General features: G+C 37.8%; 1 protein-coding gene across 1 annotated transcript in view; it reads right to left on the bottom strand.

The window, feature by feature from the left end:
- Positions 1–25,643, bottom strand: part of CPQ (carboxypeptidase Q) — a 498,260-nt gene that overhangs the window by 298,503 nt on the left and 174,114 nt on the right. Inside the window, exon 3 of the mRNA NM_016134.4 lies at positions 9,819–10,026. Coding sequence (NP_057218.1) covers positions 9,819–10,026 — 208 coding nt within the window. The remainder of the gene's footprint in view (positions 1–9,818; positions 10,027–25,643) is intronic.

The following is a 25,643-nucleotide window of genomic DNA, read 5'->3' as shown; positions in this document are numbered from 1 at the left end:
AATAGAATATTTGCTGCATTTTGGGTAAGCTGGCCACTGATACTGATTTGGGCCACCACAACTTTGGTACAGCTTGCAAGAACAATATCAAGCATTTAACATGAGGATAGAGAGAATGGAAAAGACAAGTGCATAGTTTTTAGTCAATGACTGAGGGAGACTAAGGAGAGTGGGCTCCCGAAATCGGGAGATAAACAGAACCCAAGTCTTTTGAGTCTTTGAACACTGAGGAGGGCTCTATCTAGAGCTGGTGCCTTTTAAGATAAGTCAGCTCATGTCAACCTACCTAGCTTAGTCCCATCACTATCTAATGATGACAGTGATAATAATGACCATGGCCAAGATAAGACGTCAGTTATATTTCATCAATCACTTCCCATGTTTCAGTCTGTGTCAAGGGCTTGATTTCATTTAATTCTCTCAACAACTCTATGAGGTAAACATTGTTCTCCACATGTTACAGATGAGAAAACAGGCTCACACTGGTTGTTTAATGTACATAAGGTCACACAGCATCTAAATGGGAGAGCCAACAATAGAACCCAGCCTGTCTGATTTTGAAACCCACTCTATGTATTGTTACCTTTGATAGACTCCAACAAATACCTTTGCTGGTACTTTCTCCAGGCACCTAAAGAGGCCAATGGGTCATTTGGATGGATGCAAGAGGACTTTAAGAGTCATCTTGAACTGATGACAGAGGTGGGGAGGAACACAGAGGGATAAAAAAGGCATAAGTAATAGAAAAAGACCGGCTGGAAAAAGTTTCTCAGGATTCTTTTGGTTCATATGCTACATTACACATTTTTCAAAGGGCACTGCATAAGCAAACAACATTGCCTTAATCCTGAAGCCTGAATTCAAAATGCATTCATTTCTTTTTGCCACTAGAGATTCAGAAAAACATGCCACAATGATGTGATTCTTGAGCTGTGCTTTTGATAAATAAAAAAGCTGAAAAACAGAAGGTTAACGTTTATATATATTTTACAATTATGAATGCAAAATAGCAGCCAAGAATAAATGTTTATATCAAGGTTATAAGCAGATGAAAAATGACAGCCTGTACTAGAAATGCAAACAGACCATTAATTATAGCAGCCCCACAAAGCACCATAGTAATATGGAGTTTGCAATACTTTGCCGAAATTTACATAACTATATAGTCTCCTCTCAGATTCCAGAGATTCCATTTTTGATGAGTAGCAATTCAAAAGGTTAGTCACCTCATCTACATTATTATTCAATGTCTATGAATGTGAAATGGTGACACCTTGAATTTACATGTTAGAGAAAGGGATGTGCTGCTTCCAGCTCTTTATTTATTCCAGCACTACTGTGTGCCAGGTATAGAGCACAGCCCTGGCGATACCCAGATGAGTAAGACACACAGTCTGTCTGCAGAATTGCCAATCCAAAAAGGGAGACAGACTAGTAAATACATAACCCCAGCAGAGTTTGGACAAACTGAACAGACAGAGATCTAAATGGCATAGGGTTTGTCTCCCAACCAGACAGCTTCAATTATAATCCACCAATTACAACAGTGACATTAACTAAATCAAGCTCTTCTTTCTTCTTCCTTCCTTCCTTCTTCTTTCTTTCCTTTCTTCTCTTTCTTCCTTCCCTCAATCCCTCCCTGATTACCTGCTTCCCTCCCTTCCTCCTTTTCATTCAATAACTATGTCCAGTCAATAGTTAATAAGACTGTATAATAGTAGCAACTTTACATGTACTTAAAACTTACTATAGGTCAGGCATTAATAACATTACTGCTTTTAAACCCCACAAAAGGCCAGGCTCAGTGGCTCACACCTGTAATCTCAGTACTTTGGGAGCCAAGGCGGGCAGATCACCTGAGGTCGAGAGTTCAAGACCAGCCTGGCCAACATGGTGACTCTCCATCTCTACCAAAAATACAAAAAATTAGCTGGACGTGGTGGCGGGTGCCTGTAATCCCAGCCACTCAGGAGGCTGAGACCGGAGAATCGCTTGAACCCGGGAGGCGGAGGTAGCAGTTAGCCGAACTCATGCCATTTGCACTGCAGCCTGGGCAACAAGAGCAAAACTCTGCCTCAGAAAAACAAAAACAAAATGAAACAAAAAAAGAAAACCCTCAAAACTCCAGGAAGAAAAACAAAGAAGATATTTCCCCCATTTTACAGATGAAACTGAGGCACCAATGAGGCACATCTGGCAAGTGGCTGAACAAAGACACAGGCATGGAGTCTCCAGAATGCGGGCTCCAAAATACATTGCCTGGCTCTATCCATTATGAGGAAGCATGCCTGTCACACTACCTGATACAATAATAAGAATCCAGTGATTAAAGAACATTTTGGAATTTCTAACAAAGGCTTTCCAAACAAAGAATGTACCTTCCAAAAATCAGAAAGGGGGAAAAGAAAGGATGATGAGAAGAAAAAACGCAGTGTTTGTTGTGGGTCTTCTCTGGTTCCCCCTTGGGAGCACAGTGGCCCCACCTGCATGAATGATGAGAATTGGCATTCTGCTTGATTACTGTGCATCTGTTATGAGCTTCAGAGTGAGTTAAGCAAAAACAAAATAAGCCTACTAATCGAGGTGAGTCACTTGTACAGTTTTTGAGTCCCAGTGGTATTTTCCTTATTTTTCACCAGCAGGCACATATGCTCCCCAAATTGCAATGATATTTCAAAACAATTTAAATGAAGCTTGATAGCTAATTATCTTAAGGTCATGCTTAAGAACCAAACCACCAGGACATCAAAAATCTGAGATTGTCTAAAGGTGAAGAATGCAACATTAATTTTTTTCCCATTAAAAAACAAAGGGAGTGGGGAAAGCAAGCTTTTTTATTCCCTGAGAATAACTGGTTTTCAAAAATCATCCAAAATAGACCTCTTAAGACATTTCACCTCTGCTCTGAGTGTTTTAAGCTGGCCCTCTGATTACAAAATGTTCATGTGAAATCTCATCAAGATGCTTTCTTAACATGAAGAATGTTTTATAAATTGTAATGGCTTTAATCAGCACCCTCTTTGAAGCTATTTAACTCTATGATGTAGCCCACCCATTGCTTCAATTATGTCATTTATCAACTCTGTATTAATTAAGTATCATTATAGAGATTGATTTATGTACTTTTTCATGTCTCTCTCACCAGATGGTATAGCATTCTCCCTCTCTGACACTCCATAAACATCACCTGGATTCACTCATCTCTCTCCCCAGCTGAATGTTTAATCAGCTCTTAGTCATCTTCAAACTAAATTGCTCCTCTTCCTCCTCCTCTTCACTATACTCTGTCAATACAGTACACAAAGGCCAAGTGATATAAAACATCAGCCAGTAGTATTTCCAAAGCCAAGCCCTATCAACAACTCATTCCCACCTCAATGAGTTCATACCCAGTGTGGTGATGCAATTTTCACAGTAAAGTGAAGAGAAAGTCTTTTGCTTCCTTAGCTGATTAAAAGTCGCAGTCCCTGTTCAACTATCTGGGGCAATGGAGAAAATAACTAGGAAAAAATGTATGTGTGGCAGTGGGAATACAACAAACAGTTTGGCCTCAGTAGAGTTACCTTTTGAATTATATTTTACATGGGCTAATATAAAAATTACTTTGCATTCTTGAGCTCGCATGCTAAGAAAGCAGGAGGCAGAAGTCCCAAGGTATTGCAAGAAAGCCAGCCTAGAATTTTAAACTGCCTTGGGTGATCTAAAAAGCGGACAACAGAGAAATGGAAATGCTGAACTGTTTTTCTTGCAAAATATAAAGACCAGATTAATGGGACTATCTTACAGTTGCCTCGGACTCAAAATGTCTAGAAACCAAACTGGCTGGTTTCCCTCCAAGCCAGCTCCCTCTCCCGACCCCTACATTTCTTATTCTCCTGTCCCCAAGCTGGGATCCTTAGAGCAGGGATCATCAGCTCAAATATCTACAGGACTCGAATAGGCAACATAAATGAATAAAGTATATAAAAAAAGAGGGGAAAACTTGGCAGATAAGAGGGGGGACATCCCATCAACAAGAAGAATTTGATGGCTAATCTGCTCAGCTGAAGTTTGCCCAATGGAACATACAAGATATATCACCAAATCTGGTTTTTCTCTAAAACCACAAATCCTTATTGTTATTTGAAACTTAAGATTTTTAAATTTTGGGCTGAACTAAATACAGATTCATCCCATAGATTTTAATCCTTGCCTATCAACTTGGACCCCTACTCCTTCCCCCTTTGAATACAATCAATCCCCAAGTTCTAATGTTCTCATACTATGCCTCCTGCTGATTTCTTTCCATTCCAATTGCCATCATCTATGCCCTCATTACTTCATATCTGCATTATTAGAGGAGTAACCTGTCCTTCCCTGTCTAATGCATGCTATGCACAATGGCCAAATTGATCTTTCTAAAACAGTAGTTCTTAAACTTTAATGTGTATCAGAATCACCTGGAGGGCTTGTTAAACCAGATTGCTGGACCCCACCCTTAGCTTTTCTGATACAACGGGTATTAGGTGGGGCCTAATAATTTGCACATCAATAAGCTCCTAGATAGGTTGATGTTGCTATTCCAGGGACCACACTTCAAGAACCACTGCTGTAAAATTCACCCCATATCTTTAACACATTCCATGGTTCTCCATTTCCTCCACATTAGACTTAAAACTGCCTAATCTGCTACCCTGAATTCTTCAAGCCTGGTCTCTTCCTCTCACCCCAGAATTGCATTTCTCTGACCCCCTAGGAGGCCTGGCTCCAGCTAAACTGATCTGCTTGTGTTTTACCCAAATATATCATGCAGTCCCACCTTGCTTTGATATTTACAGAGAGTCTTTCCACCTCCTTTCTCTTGGTCAATTCTGCCTTTTTATTGAACACACCCCAAATCCACATTGTCAGTGCAACCAACCCCAATCAGATTTCTGTTATCTCCTCTAGATTCCTATAGCATTAGCTCTCCAGGTTGCTTGGTACAATCTAACAGCATGGAAGTTAGAGCCAGAGACTGAGTTTGAATCCTAGTTCTTTCATTAGATGTGTAGCATGATAAGCCATTAATCATTCTGAACCTGTCTCTCCTTCAGTAAAAGAGATACCAATACAGTATCTACTTCTATTGGGTTACATAAAGAATTAATTGAGACAAACTCTTTAACCCTTTAGAATAGTACAAAGTTGGTGCTTAATAAATAGTAATTTCCTTTCTTTATCCCTTTCCCCCAATCATTCACTTAGCACTAAATATAAAATAAATAACACTAATCACTTACATGTTCTTACCCCCTTCTCTTTTGGCTACATAAAAATATTTCTTGAGGACAAAAAACACATGGAATTCACCTTAGTAATCCTAGTACTCGGAAATTTCTGAGCAACTAGGAAGCTCTCAAGAAATATGTACTAAACAATATGATAAATTAGAGAAATAATGCAAGACAAATTGTTCCATAGAGAAGCTTTCCTCTGTGGGACTTAAATCTCTAATTAATTGCATTTATTCTTAAAACATATTTCCCAGGACAAAAGCAAAGAAAGGTATTTTACCATCAGAAAAACTAAAAAAGCTCTAATGGGGGGGTCTCAGTTGATAATGGTGATGGAAAGAAGTGTCATTAGAAAAGCATTAATAAAGGGAATATCTCCTAGAAGTAAAGTTGAGCCCAAGAACACTAATAATGGCAACACAGAGAATAACAATAATGAACCTGGAGACGATGCTGACAACAAGCAATGGACATTTTTTCAGGACATCTGTCATGCAACTGTGTGACCACTGCAGACCCAAAATGGCTGATGATATTGATGATTACACCACAAAGTGTCCAATCAAACTGGTCAAATCAAACTACCCTCCAGGGGATTCTCAAATTTTGAATCCAACAGCAACAAATCATAATATATATATATATATATAATATAATGTTCTCTAGTGTTGCTGACCTCTATAATATTTTTAGATGAAATCCAGTATCACCCACTCCCATAGAGGTGAAATGCTTTTCAGAGAGAAGGGAGCTATTTTCCTTAATCAGCAACTCAAAACATCTTTGTTCATAAGTGTAGTGGCAGAAAAAATGTATAATCTGGCATATTGGGCATCTGAATATTTTCCTCCAAATGCAGAGCAAAGTACCCTAAAAGTTCAAGTTGTTTCAAACTTACTATACATGGGTTACATAGTTCGGACAAAGAGCACCAGGAACCGGGTCAGCTGGTTTGTTACGAGAGCCCTGCCATGATTTACTCTACATCCTCAGACAAATTCATTCCTTCCGTAGACATTTCCTAAGTTATTACCATGTTTCAAACATTATACTAGATGATAGGAATCCAGAGGTTAAAAAATACACGTAATCAATGTCTTTCTGGAACTTAGAGTCTAGTGTGGAGACAGGCAATTGGGGCAGACTGGGCAGTATTTCACCAAATTCACTTTCCTTTCACCCTGGACATAAAGATAGGCCAAATTTCCTAGCCTCCATGTAATAGCATTCTGCCCAATAGAATGTCAGCAGAAGTGAGGTGTGCCATATCCAGGCCTAGATATGGATAACCATGGAAAATCTCCCTCTAGGTTATCGACTTTCTCTCTCTATCCCCTTATGCGTCAGATGAATGCAGAAGACTCTGCAGAGAACTCAGATCTCAAAAATGATAGAGCCACAGATGGAAAGGAGCAGAAGGCCACATTCTGACCACCCCCTTGAAACCATTATGTGAACATGCAAAAGACTCCTATTGTGTGAAGTGACTGAGATTTGAAGCTGTTTGTTACAACAGTTAGTCTACTCTACCAAAGCACGAACCAAAACTATCAATACTTCCAAGACATTATGATACAGAGCATGCACAGAACGATGTATGTGGAAATACCAAAAAAGAGGTAACTCACCTGGGCTACAAGTGGATATCAGGGAGGGATCCCCAGAGGAAGAAACTCATAAGTGTGTGGCAGTGAGAAGGGAAATGGAGGGTTGCAGAGGAGAAAGCATATGCAAAGTCACAACACTTTGAGGAAACGTGGTGCGTGGGAAAAGTGTTAGTGATTGCTGACTGCTGGAATGTGGAGTCATGCTGGGAAATGGAGCTGTTCCGTGTGTAATTGTTGAAATGACTGATAAGGAGCAGAACCTAAGAGACTCAGTGTCTGTTAGAAATGATGGACACAGAAAGAGAAAAAAGCAATAAAGGACCATGTGACTTAGAAGATGAAGGATGAGGTCAATTTTGAAAAAAATTGAAACTGAAATAGCTATGGAACATCCCAGAGAAGAATCCACAGGCAGGTGAATATATAGGCCTAGAGCTGGCGGCAGTGGTATGGATGGGAGAGAGGGGTTTGGAAATGGCCACAATGTAGATTGTGGTTCAAGTCACATCTTCACAAGTATGAACCGCATTCATAGGAGCATGATGAGGATACACAGGTCAAACAGTCACAGTGAGAAGCCAGAGATATAGGGAAGGAATAGAGAAGAGAGTGAGAGTGACAGCAAGCAAGAAAGAGAGAGAAAACATGAGAAAGAAGTCATGGAAGCCAAAGAGAAGAAACACTGAAAATGCAGTTGATGGAGGCAAGTGCTTCATAAAAGTGAAGTAAGATGATGGCCTGAAAAATGTCCATTAAATTTGACACGTAGGCAGTTATTTGCGACCTTAACAAGTCCTGTTTCAGTATTGGCAAAAGCCAGGCTATAATAGTCTGAAGAGCAAATGAAAGGTGAGGAATTAGAGGTAGGAATATAGAATACTCATCAAAGAAATTTGGTTCTAAAAACAATAAGCTAGAAGTAGACAAACATAGTTTATCTCATTTTATTTTCGTTTTTATTTCTTAGGATGCAAAACTTAAACATGTTAATATGTCTAATTGTCTGAACTTTTATTTCCCTATCAATAAAATAGGGCTAATAATGACCCTTCTGCATGAGCCACTGAATTGTTGTCAGAGCAAATAAAGTAACATGGGAAAGATTCTAAAGTGCTATGTAAAGTCCAATGTTATTATGTATTTATAAATGTTGAAAGAATAGAATTATACAAGTTAAGAGTCCAGTGAAATATGGATTGGCTATAAAATCAGTGAAACATTATAATCAGTCTTAGAGGCTAGCAACAGATTCTGAAGTCCCTTGCTGGACAATTCTACTGGTACTCCTAAGTTGTAGCTTGGGTTTCCAGATGTCTTCATTATGCCAGAAAAAAAAAAAAAAATGCCAGTGAATCCTGACAAATTACTGTGCATTAAATCATTTGGGAATTTATTAGTCTTATGAGTAGTAGTTCTTAAATAAAGGTTTCTGGCAATCACCCAGTTTCACAAAGCAACAGACCAGCTCCATAATTTAAGTCTCATGACCGTGAAATCATGGTGAATGGCCACAGCTTGCTGAATATGTTATTCCAAGGGGTGATGGAGGTATTATGGGAAGTAAGCTAGCCATTTTAGGACTTCCCTCCTGGGAAGCTTAATCATCCAAAAGAATATGGTGCAATCATTATTTCACTAGTCTTGAAACCTCTAAAGACCCCGCAAAGAACATTATTTTTAGCACTATGACATCAATGTAACTAGTCGTATAACTTTCTAACATGTAGTTTTAACATGCCCCATCCTCCTCCCCTGGGAAGATATCTTATCCCTGTATAAGGAAAATGTCTCTTTCCTTTTCCCTGCACTTTTGTACAACTTTCCTCTGACTGGATTTCCTAGCTGCTGACATATGTTCCCCAGTTATTTTTATTTTCAGGGGTGTAGGGTGCTAATTAAGGTCAAGCAGCTGTGTCTCCAGTTCCAAATAGCAATTGTGCAGAATAAATAAACTTCCCTTTCCAATAGATATTAAAAATCCAATCCGGAGACCCAAATAAACCCTATCTGCTATTATTTTTGCATTTTAAAAAAATCTTAGGCCAGGCTATCACACTAAAGTTATGCTTCTTTTCCCCATGTTTCTCAAATATTTTATCCTTAACGTATGACACTGCCATAATAGCTATTAAACTAGGCTGAACATCTACATCTCAGTTTTTAGACTTTTTATCCACTGTAATACTGAATTTCATCCTAGGACTGAGGGCCAATAAAGTTATTTGGCATTACCTCAATCAAAACTACAAAGAAAAAGACAAGTCCTATGTTACTCTCAAACAATATTACCAAATATTTATATGGACCTTTGTAGATAATCATTTACAGATAATTAAGTATCTTTTTCAAGTTGACCTCATTTAATCTCAAAATTATTTTGTACATTTATTATTATTCTTTACCCCTGGTTAACAGAAGAAAATTATGAGGCCTAGAGAAGTTTAAGAAACATTCCTAAGACCACCTAGTTGTTTGGGAGCAGAGCCAAGTCTGTATCCAAGTTCCTCTAATTCCCTAACTCTTCACTATACCATAGATGGCCCCCATCATGTCACCCACTCTCTTTTTACTCCACTTCTCTAGCAACATGGAAAACAGGCTGGCTCCCTCTGAAGTCATTAGGAATCTTTGATGAAATGCAGACATGAACGCAGTTCTTCCTCCAATGAAAATACATAATATATTAGTTATATAAGGAATGTAATGGGATCACTGTGGATGTGAAAAGCCTTAAAGCTTTTTAAAGGAATGCACAAGTGATGCTTGGAATCCAGAAAAGCCAAAGAAGATATTACAAACAAATGACCAAATGTGGAATGGGTGTGTGTGTTTGGGGGGGAAACTCCATGAACAATAAGTATTTTCATTTGAATGGTTTGTTTTTACTTCATAAGGACTTTTCCTTCACGGAAAACCCTTGTTTTTGAAAGGAATTCAAATGAACATTGTGACAAACCTGTAGATGGAGAAGGAGGCCACGGATCGAATGAGAGATGCCAAAGCCCCCACCTTGGCAGCTTCCACCGCCCCCTGCGTTCGGTATTGCACCGTCCTTGAGTAGTTGATGTAAGGTTGGTTATAAACAACAATCTTCCCTCTTGCTTCTGAGGCCCTTCTCTGCAGTTCATCGAAAGAGGTCACCACCAGAACTTCTGCTGTAATGCCTAGAAATAAAAGTCATGCAAGATTAACTTACAGTTTCCCATCAGCTGGGTTGAATTGGCACAGGAAAGGTCACATACATGCTCTTTCTGCTACATCTGGCAAACTGGTATAAGAAGATCAAAGTTTTAGAGCCATTTACCATGGGAAAAGGACTGTGGGGTTAGCCAACTTCCCAAGAGAGTGAAAAGGCATTCAAAATAATATAACATAAAAATCATAAGGTTTTTCAACTCACTTGACCAGCTGGTATTAAATCACAAACTGCTTGAAAAGATAGCTTCTTTTTTAATTCTTTCCCACCCTCAGAAGTCACAAATTTCAAAGAATGATGCTAATCATTTATTTTTAAAAATGAATTTCAGAAAGCTCTCCTTAGGATTAATGAAACACATATTAATCTTTTTATATAACTATTTTGATATGTTGCTAAACAACCTACAACAACATCATACAAAGGATGCCAGTGTGTGAAGAATACTCTTAGAAGCCAATGTTGTTCATAAATGAAACTTTCAACAAATGGTTAATGTAATCTCTCTGAAGAACCACAAAAAGTAAGCTTTCCTTCCTCCTTTGCATAGAAACATTCTTAAAGAGTGGAAACTTCCCATGCTTCCCATTTACGGTACTTGTTCATCACCAAACACATCATTATTTTTCAAATAAAAACTTTGAAGATGTTGTGTAATGGCGCTATAATCCTGTTGTCTTTGTTAGAAGAGATGTCCCTTCTTTTCTCATACCATAAGACTTGCCCACATTTTCCTGATTAGGGAACAGGGTTTCACATCTTCCAAGAAATCATTCAAAATTTGCCTGACCATTAAAGATCCAAATTGATGGAGTAGTTAGAGTAAAAGGGAAAAAATATTTGGCAACAAAGGCCAGATGCAGTGGCTAAATATATCTAAAAGAAAGAAAGTGGTAAGTGCCTAGTGTTTTGTGGCTTTAGCCATGCAGTCATGAAGTATGTCAGTAAAAAACAAAGTATCAACATATATTTCCATATTTCCTTAATATTAAAAACTAGAGAAATAAGTTTTTCTGAAAGCTTAACAAATGTTAACTGTTACTTGGAAAATCCTTTTAAAATGCACTACAGGTATGCAAGAATTTTTGCTTTCAATATAGGCCTCATCATAATGGGCCCTTTGGGCTGGCTACCCCTGGTACCATGATCCAGACTGAATTTCTATTTTCACTTTAAAGTGATTGGCTAAGATCTATAGGTATGCCTTCACCAACACTGAGAACTCAATTTATAGTCTAAAAGAAGCAATGTATAATTATGGAAACTAAGGAAACCACCAGCTTTTTTCATATAATATGCATACATAAAAATACAAATAAGAGTTTGGCTAGACAGATTTTGAGATTCATACATTTCTGAAACCTGGAGTTACCTTGAAATTTGACTGGCGTTATTGTTGGCATAGTATGGGAACTTGGCTGATGGTTTGCAGCTGCTCCTAATGAATAACAGGTTCGATAGTCCACTCAAGGGATGTCGCAACAATAGGGCAATTTTGGCATCCGGATTGGAGCCACTAGAAATGAAGCCAAATTTCTATAAATTTTCATAGGCCACTGTGAAATTAAAGTCACACGAGGGTGGTACTTCATTATGGTCTATGCTTCCATTCAAGTTTTTTTTTGTTTTGTTTTGTTTTGTTTTTAACAAACAAGAGAGTGGAGTCCTAAAGTGCCAAAACCTAATCTAGACACCACAGTTGCCAATGCAAATCACTAGTAGCAGCTACAGGTCAAAACCTATCACTGTGAACTTGGAAGAAGAGTTTAAATTAATCTGTTTTTCTGAAAACTCACAGTCATCTCTGATTCCTCTGTCTCCTTTATCCCCCATATGTAATCAATCCCCCAATACTGATAATTTTACTCCTTAGAAATCAATACCAATTGAAATCATGAACTCTGTTCAACCCCCTTACACTCTCACAGCAGGCCCTCATTACCTCTCTTTTGAACTATTACAGGTCTCTACTCCCTGGCCCTCCCATACCACCGGTGTGCCAGCCTCCAGCCTGGCTCCTTTTTACCTTCACAGAGCTGCCAGAGTGAACAAGTCAAACTACTGAAGAGTCAGATCTGCCCCAGGCAGCATCCCCAACCCCTCTTCCCCATTTCCACTTCTGCCGAAAACCCATCATTTCAACATCCAAAGTCTGCCTACCTATACAGACACTTTTCCCTGTATAGACACCTACCTATACAGACACCTTTTCCCACCTTCATCATGTGACCAGTACCTATGCATCCCTCAAGATTCCACTCAAGAATCACTTCTTTAGGGAGCATTCCCTGGCCTCTTGTCTCCTGTAACATCAGGGAAGCCTGGATCAGGTACCGCCCTTCTCTGGACTTTCAGAGTACCTGGGACATATCTGGGAATTGACTTAATGAAACTCTCTCTACCCCTTAAACTGTAATTTCCTCCATTTGGGTCCATGTTCATTCTTGTTTGTGTGTCAAGGGACTAACCCAGTGCCTGGCGTACATGTAGCCAGTTGGTCATTAAGCACCCCTGGAGTTGTGCTGCTCCAAATAAGAGACTGCTGACTGGATCTAAAGCATTTCCATGAATGTTCAGTTTTACCTTTAAAGTTTGATAGCCCTTCTCCCATAGGAACTCAGCAGTCTGATTCCCTTACACCTACAGTACAGCTGCAGAACAATAACCAAGCAAAAGAGGCCTTGGGGCACTCAGAATAGAAATAAAAATTCCAAGTACAAAAACTTGAACACAAGAAAGCTCTTCTGATCTCTTAGAGCCTGGTTACCCTTACTTTACACAAAATTCTACATCTGGCATTTAAACCTATCAGCTATGAGAAACAACAAATCAAAAAGAGGAAATAAGGTCTGAAAACTGACAACAGTACCACAAAAAACAATGTTGGAGTCAGAAACATATAAAATAACTAACACTAAGAGAACTTTCTACAGTGACAGAAATGTTTGATATCTGTGCTAACACAGTAGCCATTAGCCACATGTGGCTATTGACCACTTGAAATGTGACTAGACTGACTAAGAATCTGAATTTTTAATGTCATTTAATTTCAATTAATTTATACGTACATTTAAATAGCCACATGTGGGTAGAACTCACAATGACTGCAGGCTCAGGCCATTGCATAGGACAAACAGATGACAGCATCTCTTCTGGCCCTGAGGGACTTGTTTCATGAAAGTCCAATAACAGATGTGAGCCATGGTGATGACCTCCTCCAGCAGTCACAGACAAGGTGGGCCACTGTATTCAGTAGCCATTGTTTGGGAAGGCAGGGTGTGTACAAAATACTTTAGGAAGATTTTTGCTCAAATGGAATAAAATAAAACTAGACCACCTAGAAAATTTTACCCTTCCATATTAGTTTGTGTTTTGACACCTTATACCAAAGGGAATATTCATGCCTGCCTACAAATCAGCAAGCTCTTACTCTTTACTCTCATCTCCCTTCTTCCCATCCTCCCATTCCAAAAGATAGTTCATGAAAACCTCTAAGAACACAAAACCTGTGTCATATTCACAGTAAGGCCTACCCTAATGTCCCTATTAATAATTGCAACTCTCTCCCAACCTCCTGTACCTCTTAGCTTGTTTAATTTTTTTTACAGCATTTATCAGTTTCCAGTTGTACCCCTACAATAATGTAAGTTCCAAGTGCCTGAAATAGTGCCTAGCACATAATGTGTGAAACACACACACACACACACACATACCCATAACCCACTGAATGAATGAAGAGAAACCGAAAAAATAAAAGTATAATACCCCATCCCTGATCACTCTCCAGAAATGTATACTTCCAAGGAACTTGCATATTTCTATAGGTAGAATAATTGATGATGATAATAACAGTAATAGCTATATTTGAATGTCCATTATTTACACTAATATTCACAGCAACTCTGCAAAGTAGTTATTATGAAGAGACTGAGGTGCAGAGAAGAAAGTTCACATAACTGCTAGGTGCTGAAGCTGAGATTTGTAACTATTGGATATCTGAATCCAGGGGTCATGCTCTTCCCATTAACTGCATTGTTATATTATTTCACAAATGTAACAAATATCAAAAGAAAAGCTTGGCATTTTCATTTTAAGAGGAATTAGGAAGGAAAACAAATAGGTATATAAAAGTCAGCCTAAGTTGTCAGCAATTCTTTTCCTTAATCTGTAAGAATCTTGCTCATCGATCAGGGTGCTGTTAATCACACTAGGTCCCAATCTCTTAATAAGGGAGTTGGGAGGGGTGTTTCATCCTAGGACAGGAGTCATCAGACTCGGTTAGAGTAATGAAAAGGATTATAATACTAATTTCTGAAGAGAATGTGGGACTGAAGCTAAAAATACTCACTATAAAGTAACTCTTTTGGCTATAGTCTATTATATCACAAAAATATTATAAAAATCCTCAGGTTCCTTTCTATCTTCCACACCTAATTTTCAAAACCGATCAATTTTTTTAAGCCACTTAACCTGTGTGTAATTACTACTGTGGTCTCCTAGCACAGACAACAGCTGCTGACTGCTGTGGTATTGGCACGGATCATGTAGTCTATAGAGAATTTGATAAAAAGACTCCAATCTCAGTCTCTCCTGATTTGATTCTTCCCCAAAACAGTTAACAATAAGAAGATAATGAAATAATCTTACAACATTTTCTACCATCAAAATAAAAAGACTTATAGACAGAAAAACGTGTCTATGGTCTTATTTTAATGTGGTATGTTTTAGAAAATTGATTCTGATTTCAGAAGTCTTCACCTCTGAACAGGAAATAGTCTAGCCCTACCCAAAGGAAACCTAGCTTTCTACTCTTATCACATAATCTTCTAATGTGTGCACTATGCAAGATAACTAGGTCCATGGAGAAGTGGTAAGGAAACTGCACATTCATGGAAGGCAGATAAAAGAACACAACAGTTCTTTCTGAGTGTCCATTTGTTTATGGAGAATATTGTGATTGTGCAATGTCCTTTTCGTGGAAGAATATGCCTTACAGATCAAAATTAATTCAACAAATGTATAGCCTTCCTACTGGGCCAAAATTTCACGCTGGGCAATGTGGACAATAGGAAGATGAGGAAATTCCAGTACTATCCTTAAGGATTGTATAATCTGGAGGAGAAAAAAATAAGTAAACAATAACTTTAAAAAGAACAGTCACAGCACTAAATGAAAGTACAAAGTACAATTTCATGAGAGAACATAAATCAGCATTAATTCTGACTAAAGGAAGAAATCTAGGAAGTTTCCTATAAAGAAGAAACTTTAAGAAGGCTTTAGAAGATTTCAGTAGCCTGAAAATGAGGGAAGGACATTTTCAGGTAGAGAACAAAGAAGAGAAGACAAAAATAGATGAAACACCTATTCATTTACAGTGATTAGGAGTATTCCTGCCAGGCCCCAAAACAGACAGTGGGACACTCTATGATCTTCCAACTTTTAACCAAGGTATTTATGGACCTCCATCTTCATTCTGTGAATTCCAGGAAGAAAAGGAAAACAGTCTCTCTGAATAAATTTTCAGGGAAAAAAATTAAAACTCAGCTACTAGTTGAGAGAAAGAGGAACAAGGGGCAAAGTGCAACTCCAAGTGATAACTGAAGGCACATGACCCATCCTCTCCGGACTGTGTCTCCTGAGATCTGGCTCAAATTAGACCTGCTCTGTTGGCCTTGTGAGAGAGCCCAGACCCCACTGCATCAAAATCCATGGGCACAATAAATTATAATTATCTCTAGAGAGCCAGCTGCCTGCCCTGTTTGGTGGTGTGCTGAGAGCCACTTGCTGTACTGATACCTGAGGACAAGCCACAAGCAAAGTATCCTGTCTACTTTGACTTCTAAAATATTGAGTTTATACAGAGACTTTTGTTATTTTGTGGAGAGGTGCCTATCACAGGCCCATTATGTTCAATTCAACATGAAATGTAGGACACTCCAGGTTTATAAGAACCCAACTAGCAATAAGCAGCCATAAGCATAGACTGCTTCTGGTCCTTAGAAATTGGATTGCCTTAAAATCCAAACTTTTCCCATTGTTTTTGCAGCAGCATGAACAGGCACTCAGACTGGAGTATCTTGATTTCTTATAGTAATTATCACAGGGAACATTTATACTCTAAAACATGAAATATACTCTTTTCCAAAAACAACTTGTTTTGAATATGGTTGCTTTGAAGCATGGCTGACATGGTGGTTGCTTTCTCTCTAATCACTGGGTGTTTCCTTGTAAAGGTGACTAATGTGCGTGAGTGAGGGACGGCTTTCATGAAAACCGCTGTCATCTAACCTGGTAAAGTGAGCAGCAGGAAGCATAATGCACCTCAGTCAGGTTCAAGCAGTATTTACAGAGGAAAATCCAGGTGTGGCAATGGGTGGGATATGGAGGTGAGTTGCCAGCTACAGTAGACTAAAATGGGCTAGTTATCATGGTCTGGGGGTCATGGCTAGCTTCCCTGGGAAGCTGGGATGGGAAAAATGAGTGCCAATTGACTAGGAGACACTGGCTGGAGGGTGGGTAGGAGAGAGGACTAAGATGAGAAAGTAAGCAGAAATTGAGGGAGAGAATGACGATAGAAGGCTGGCCACGTTTGCAGGGTGATATCACATGGGAGACTTGTATTAAGGACTTTGGGTAAGGATAGGGAAGTCAGACAAATTCACATTCACAGTTAAAAATATCACTAGGCTCAGCTTGAGGAAAAGCTTGGAGGAAGTCAGAAAAGGTATAGAGGACTGTTGAAAGGACTACTGCCACATTCTGGGTAAGAGGTGACAGTGGCTTAGATTGGGACAGGGCAGTGGAGATAAAGCATAGTAGGCCACTTTCAGTAACAGCATGATGACACACTGTTTACTGCAATGGGGTTTTATACTCCAGCAAGCATAGTGCCCAAACTGTGTAATGATTGTTTTATGAGGGAAAGTTTTATATAAACTGAAATTTAGTCATCAGATCATTCAAAACTAATAAGACATTTCTAAAAATTTTAAGTTGAATATTTTCAGTGAAACAAGCCAACATCTTACTCTGTAACTTTTTTTTGAAAAAACAGGGTATTTATTACATTATGCATTATTCGATATATGCTTAAAGCAGAGGATTTCTTTGTCAATAACAAGAAATGCCTATCACTATATACCCTGGCTTGAATGCTGGCTATAAAGCTCACCAGCCTTTTGATCCTGAATAAGCTACTTAACTTTTTTTTATCCTGTGAAATGGGAATCACAATAATATTGGCATCACCAGGCTTCTTGTGACCATCATATGAGATAATGGTGGTAAAATTGCTCTATGTTCCATAAAGCACTATAAGACAAAGGTAGTTATTTAAGGGCTGTGGACATATATTTAGTGGGCATAAGCAATAAGTATCTGGTTTATTTAAAATTTCACTTCAAGCCAAATTACCAGGAATAAAACAAAGTGGATATGACTTCAGTAAATACCAAGCCTACTTGGCTCAGAGTAGAGCTATTCCTTATAACATCAGACAGCTCCAGTTTTTACTAAAGCAATAATTTAGGTCCTATATCCTAAAGATTCTACATCAGGCTGGACAGAAAAGTGGAGTAGGCTCCATGGGTCTACTTGGCAGCCAAGAGTACAGAGGAAGTGATGGAGGGGTGGATGAGAGAACCAAGGAAGGGAGTTTTTGGAGAAAAAAACAGCAGAAGAATAGGACATAAGAGAAAAATACACCAGTAGCCCTGTCCAAAACAGACCTATGACATATGTTCCATTATTTCCTCTTAAAACTCATGCCCACCCATTGCCTTGTAAACTGCGATATCTCAGTCAAAGACACTGAGCTTGGACTTGGCCAAGAGACTTTCTCTGGCCAATGGAATATGAATACGCATGATATACAGTCATAATTGAGCAGGAGCTTTAAGGACCATTGCAAGATTTGGCATTGTCTCTAAGAAAATGTGGTACATATACACCGTGGAATACTATGCAGCCATAAAAAGGAACAAGATCATGTCCTTTGCAGGGTCATGGGTGGAGCTGGAAGCCATTATCCTCAGCAAACTAATGCAGAAACAGTAAATCAAATACTGCATGTTCTCGCTTATAAGTGGGAGCTGAACAATGAAAACACACGGACACAGGGAGGGGAACAACACACACTGAGGCCTGTTGAGGAGTGGAGTACGGGGAGGGAGAGCATTGGCAAAAACAGCTAATGCATGCTTGACTTAATACCTAGGTAATGGGCTGATGGGTGCAACAAACCACCATGGCACACGTTTACCTATGTTAACAAACCTGCACATCCTGCATATGTACCCCAGAACTTAAAAAGTAAAAGAAAAAAGAAAAAGAGAGATCATTGCCCTCAGCCAGGAGAATGGCATGTCCCAGATGGAAGCTGCTCCTTCTGTCTGCATTCTGGGGTAAAAAAAGATACCTGAGGCAGGAGCAAAGGCACTACTAATCGGCAGATATATGTATATATATATACAGAACAAGAATTAAAGCTTGGTTTTTGTGAACCACTGAGATTTTGGAGGTTGTTTGTTATCATAGCATTACTGAGTGAAAACTGACTAATTCAGGGGCTCTGAATTTAAAGTTTCTATCAAAGTTTTTCACAATCTATGGCTGACTGATAGAAGATATAGAATGAATATATGTGATACCTTAGGGAAGATTGTTCAGTGAAAATTAGATAACTACTTCCTCCTCCTATCACACATCAAAATGATCAACACCAAACGGCAGGAAACAAACAAATCTGAAGAATTCAGCAAGTGTTAAGTGATCTAACACCTGTAGACTAAATGACAAAGAATTGTAAATAGGAGATAAACTCAAGATCATTAAAATACAGTATTGGCAGCTTTGGTTAGCTAACCCACCCAATGTCATTTCTAAATAAAACAAGCAGCCATGTTATACTCTTTAATAATTCTACACACATTCAGCAGATTTCACTATTTCATCCCTAAATGTATTTGCTTTCTAAATTCCATCTTTATAAACCAAGGGCAAAAATGATAGAAACTAGTGTGCTTATGTTTGTAGCAAGTACAAAATGTTATTACAGTGCTATATTAGAGGGCTAAAATAACTCTATGAAAATGGTATAACAAACTGGGCTTTTTTATGTAGATATGCTTAAAATTTTAAGTGTGTCTTATGTTCTTCTTAGAGAAGTAAAACTTGAGTGAAACTACTGTAACAAAACAGAATTTCTACCCTAAATAATGATAAACTTGGCTCAGTTTCACATGATTCAATACAACATAATTTGTCACTAGAAGAAGATTCTAGAGACATGGGTTAAATATAAGAACTCTATGAATTACATGAAAATTTTCTGGATTTCATTTTATGAAAGTTCATTGGCTTGATGGGCACAAATCCAATTATTGATGTTAATTCTGTTACAATTAAAAGCCAGTACCAAATAGTTTTAAGGAGGAGAGAGTAAGGGCATTAGCCACATTTTATAGGTGACAAAATGGAGGCACAACGAAGCTCAAATACCTTACCAAACTAGAAAGTGACAGTGCTTGGATTTGAATCCAGGTCAGACCGACTCCAAACCCATGGTGTTAGCTTCATATTCAAAATCTGTGTGGTGTTCTCCCCCAAAACATCTGCAGGCTCTCCTATACCTTACATCCTAACTATAGGCCCAGGGAAAGAGAAAGTATCTTTTCCAGAAGTTCCCACTGCAAAGACAGAGGAGACTTCATTTTTTTTCAGAAGCCCCAGGCACAAGTCTTTTAAAGATTCATGAGTTATATGCCCACTCATAAATCTAATACCATGGCCATAGGAAAGGGTTATGCTGACTACCTTAAGCCAAGCAAGGCCATTCCACCCCCAGACCTGGGTAAGGGGCCAATCCTACCCAAACCACATAGCTTGGAGTGGGCCAAGGCTGTAGTTCCCAAATAGAATAAAAATGGATCCTGGGTACCAAATAACAGAAGGCCACCACAGGGGATGTCCCTTGATATTGTCACAATTTGTAGCACAATGCTTTTTGCATATTTTGAATTCAATATGTTTGCTGAATTGAATTGAATTAAATATCCCACATTGTTCATGATCCACTTTAGCAGGGCAAAGAGCCTCCTGGGCCATTTATCCCCAACCACTGAAATCAACAAAATGAATAGGAAGTTTTTAATAAGCTTTTGATGAGCTACCAATTAAGAAAACCAGGCATCCATTTAACAACAGTAATAATTTATTAATCCACACCAGAAACTTAGGCACATACGCTATGGTAATAGAAATATTATTGCTATAGGAGCTCGTAGCTTGATTCATTCCCAAGGATCCATGTGGACCATTTGTAATCCCCGAGCCATATTTAAAACCACTATTCTATCTATACAATTTTGTCATGGAGTCCAAAACTTTAAACATTTGCAGAATTTCCATTGGATTGTAGGGTAAGGATTTCAAATATTTAAATAAAAAAATGATGTGTGTATAGATTCAATATAAATTCAAGTGCTAAAAGGTGATAATTCTTCAATTTAAAAGACTTGAGTGAAAATAATGATATCAGAAATAGCTATTGTATGTGTACTCTGGCCAGGAACCATGCAAAGATCTTAACATGTATTATTTAATGTAATCCTTATGTCCCTATATGATAGGTATTACTGCCACCCATCGGTAAATATATTGACATGAAAGCTGAGACTTGACCTAGGTCACATAGTGTGGTTGGTAGTACATCTAAAATTCAAACACAGACCTATCTGATGGAGATCTATTTCTAACAGAAAGAGATGGAGAGAGAGCAACAGTACTTCTGGTCATTGAATCCTCATCTGATTATTCATCCATACATTTTATCTACAAGATGCCTAAATACTAAACATAAAAAATTTAGAGGCCATCTCCACTAAGAGTTTTAGCACATTATCTTACACAGCACAATGCATTTACTAGCTGCCATGTAGATTAGAATATGAAGACATAGAATGATTGTTGCTGAGTGGTCCTTAAATGTATATTTTAATCTTTCCCTCTTTGTTTAACCTAGAACAAAAGTTAAAGTAAAACTGTCTTATCAAGCAGATTTATCTGACAGTCACTTCAGGAAAGATTTAATTAAAATAATAATAATAACGAACTAGCATTTCTATAGGTCTTACAATATGCCAGGCACTGCTCTAAATGTTTTACTTACATTAACTCAGTGGATTCTCTCGACAGCCCTATAATGTAGGCACTTTTATCACCTTCATTAAATATAAAATACTTTATTTATTTATACTTGTGTTTTACTTATTTCCTGACTTATTACCAAAGGAATTTGAAGAGACTTGCAAAATTACATTGAAGAAAATAAAAAGAAAGGAAGAAGGTAAAGAAAGAAAGGAAGAAAGTATAGTAAAATAAAATAACGCTACAGATAATATTATCAGAAAAAATATCCATCATAGGATTTGTGTAGTTGCTGGAGAGGACCATAAATTTAGCTACAAACTTCCTGGCAAACAAATCAAAAAGCAAAACATAATCAGGCAGAAGATTCACAATGTCCATAATAGGAAAACAAGCCAGTTGCTTAAGAGTAGCACAAATTTCCCATAAGAAAGTTATTTGCCTACAAGAAAATTATATAATTAAAAATGCCATGTGATACAATAATGTACAAAAGTCCATTTCTACCATGAGTATAAAATGTGGAATGTAACTCCTCTTCATCCCTCCATTTCCATTTTCTCCCTCTCCCTTAGTAATAACAGTTTTAATTTTGCTGGGAAGATGACTGTCTAGAGTTTTAAAAAGACCCCATTTTCTAGCTTCCCTGTAGCTAGATGTGGCCATGTTACTTAAAGGGGGTGGCATGTCTTTATCCTGGTCACTCAAATGCAGATGGAAGAAGCCATCCTGGATGACGAGGTAGGCTTGGAAAGGAACATCTGGACAGTGGAATCTGGGTTGCTAACACTCTGGTGCATAGTTATCTATAATTTCATATGACAGAGAAAGAAACTTCTATGGTGTGTAAGCAACTATTGTTTTGGGTTTTCTATTATTTTTAGCTAACTGAAGAATGAGGGGGACAGAAAACTTCTTTGTATTAGGTGATCAGGGAAGACTTCTCTGAGGAGATATTTAAGCTGAAAAACTGAAGGATTTTATGCTAACGAACTATGGACAAGAAGAATGGAGACAAGAATACTCATTGCAGAGGTCACTGTACCTACAAAAGCCTCTAGGCAGGAAAACCTTCACAAGAAGCTGAAAGAGGATTTTTGTGGCTGGAGTGCAGTGAGAAAGGGCAAAGAGAAACATGAGACAAAATCTGACAAAAAGGCAGGAACCATATCATGCAGGACCTCCTGGGCCATGGTGAAGAGTTAGAATTTGTGTTGGCAGGGATAAGTAGAAAAGGGAATCCTTGTACACTGTTGAAGAGAATGTAAATTGAGAATGCCATTATGAAAAACAGTGTAGAGGCTCCTCAAAAAATTAAAAATAGAGCTAAAAAATTAAAAATAGGGCTACCATATGACCCAGCAATCCCACTACTGGGTACACATATCCAAAGAATATGAAATCAGTATGTCAAAGAGATACCTGCACTCCTATGTTCATTACAACATTATTGACAATACCCAAGATATGGAATCAACCTAAGTGTCCATCAGTGAATGAATGGATAAAGGAAATGTGGTATATAGGCACAATGGAATTACTATTCGGCCTTACCAAAAAAAGAAATATTGTCATTTGCAACAACTTGGATGAACTTGAAGGCCATTATGTTAAGTAAAATAGGCCAGGCACACAAAGAAAAATGCCATCTGAGCTTACTTATACGTGGAATCTAGAAAACTCAAATTCATAGAAACAGAGAGTAAAATAATGATTACCAGAGATGAGGGAATGTAGAGATTGGGAAGAAGTTGGTCAAAGGACACAAATTTTCAGTTAGAAAAAGTTCAAGAGATATGTTGTACATCATGCTGACTATAGTTAATAACAATAGATTGTATACTTGAAAATTGCTAAGAGGATAGATTCTAAGTGTTATCACCACAAAAAAATGTTAAGTATGTGAGGTAATGGATATGCCTGATTTGGCCATTACACAGTGTACATACATATCAAAACATCACACTTGTACAGTACAAATCATATAATTTTTACTTGTCTAATTAAAAATTAATTTTTAAAACTGTAAAACCCAAGAGCTGAAAAATGAAAAAAGAAAGGAGAGAGAATTTATTTATTAGTCAATGAAAGAACAGTGTCTGGCAAATAGGAGGGGTCTTCAAGAAGTTCATGAAAAATGTGTATTATAAAAAAATAGATTTCAACTTTTTTGCATCAAAATAAACTCATACTAATTTATTATAACATATCTGAACAGAATCTAGTTTGAGGCACTAAGAAGGATAAGACATCAGTTTTAAAAGAGCCCCTATCAAAAACTGGATAGCTATATGCAAAAGAATGAAATTGGACCTCTATTTCCCACTATACACAAAAATCAAATCAAAATGGATAAAATATTTCAATAGAAGTCCTAAAACAATGAAACCACTAGAATAAAACTTTGGAGAAATGTCCCAGAACATTGGTCTGGGCAAATATTTTTTGTTTAAGACCTGAAAAGCACAGGCAACCCAAGCAAAAATATATAATTGGGATTATATCAACCTAAAAAGCTTCTGCACAGCAAACAATCGACAAAGTGAAAAGACAACACACAGAATGAGAGAAAATATTTGCAAACTATCCATCTGACAAGGGATTAATAACCAGAACATATAAGGAGTTCAAACAACTCAATAGCAAAAAAAAAAAAAAAAAAAAAAAAATTCAGATTAAATATTGGGCAAAAGGTTTGAACAGACATTTCTCAAAAGACATACAAATGGCCAAGAAGTACATGAAAAAAATGCTCAATATCCCTAATCATCAGAGAAATGCAAATGAAAACCACAATGAGACAGCATCTCACCACACACAATAACAGATGCTGGTGAGGATGTGGAGAAAGGGGAACCTTCATACACTGTTGGTGGGAATGCAAATTAGTACAGCCTAATGTACAGTATGAAGGTTCCTCAAAAAACTAAAAGTAGAACCACCATATGATCCAGTAATTCTACTACTTGGTATATATCAAAAAGAAAGGAAATCAATACATCAAAGAGATATCTGCACTCCCGTGTTTATTTCAGCACTGCTAACAATAGTGAAAATACGGAATCAAGCTAAGTACCCATCAACAGATGAATGAAGAAAGAAAACGCCATATATATACACAATGAAATATCATTCAGCCATAAAAATGAATGAAATCCTGTCATTTGCAGCAACATAGATGGAATTGAAGACCATTATGTTAAGTGAAAAAGTCCAAGCACAGAAAGACAAATATCATATAGTCTCACTCACATGTGGGAGCTAAAAAAGTAGATCTCATAAAGATAGAGATTGGTAGTTATCAGAGGCCAGGAAGGGGAGAGGGGAGAAGAGTCAAAGAAACAAATAGAATATAAATGCATTTATTACCACTGAACTACACACTTAAAAAAGATAAAGATGGTAAATTATATATGTATATTTTAGTACAATAAAAAATATTTTTTTGAAAAAGAGCCCCCATCAGTGCAACATGAATTCTGCTAAAATTGAAACAAGAACAAACATCACATTTAAGGTGAAGCTTGGGAAGAAGAATGGTGAAATCACTGCTGCTTTATGAAAAGTTTACAGGGACAATGCCTCAAAGGAATCAGCAGCCTACAGATCGATAACTCATTTTAAGAAGGGACAAGACAATGTTGAAAATGAAGCTTGCAGTGGCAGACCATCCACATCAATCTGTGAGGAAAAAAATTCACTTTGTTCATGTCCTAATTGAAGAAGAGTGACAATTAACAGCAGAAACAATAACCAACACCATAGATATCTTGATTTGTCAGCTTATGCAATTCTGACTAAAATATCAAAGTTGGGCAAACTTTCCACTTGATGGGTGCCAAAACCATTGTGCCCAGATCAGCTGCAGAGAAGAGCAGAGGTTTCAATGAAAATTTTAAACAAGTGGAATCAAGATTCTATAGCATTTCTTTAAATAACTGTAACAGGAGATGAAACATGGCTTTCCGGTATGATCCTGAAGACAAAGCACAAGCAAAGCCATGGCTACCAAGAGGTGGAAGTGGTCCTGTGAAAGCAAAAGCTGACCAATGAAGAGCAAAGGTCATGGCAACAGTTTTTTGGGATGATCAAGGCATTTTGCTTATTGTCTTTCTGCAGGTGAAAGAACAATAATATCTGCTTATTATAACAGTGTTTTGAGAAACATAGCCAAATCTTTAGCAGAAAAATGCCCAGGAGAGCTTCACCAGAAAATCCTTCTCCACCACAATGATGCTCCTGCTCATTCTGCTCATCAAACAAGGGCAATTTTACAAAAGTTTCAAGGGAAAGTTATTAGGCATCCACCTGAAAGTCCTGATTTAACTCCTTTTGATTTTTTTTTGTTTCCTAATCTTAAAAATCTGTAAAGGGCACCCATTTTTCTTTAGTTAATAATGTAAAAAAGACTGCAATGATATGGTTATATACCTAGAGTGC

Source organism: Homo sapiens, chromosome 8, assembly GCF_000001405.40.
Source record: "Homo sapiens chromosome 8, GRCh38.p14 Primary Assembly".
NCBI lineage: Eukaryota > Metazoa > Chordata > Mammalia > Primates > Hominidae > Homo > Homo sapiens.
The sequence above is the reverse complement of the archived record's forward strand: the minus strand, read 5'-3'. Positions and strand labels throughout refer to the sequence as shown.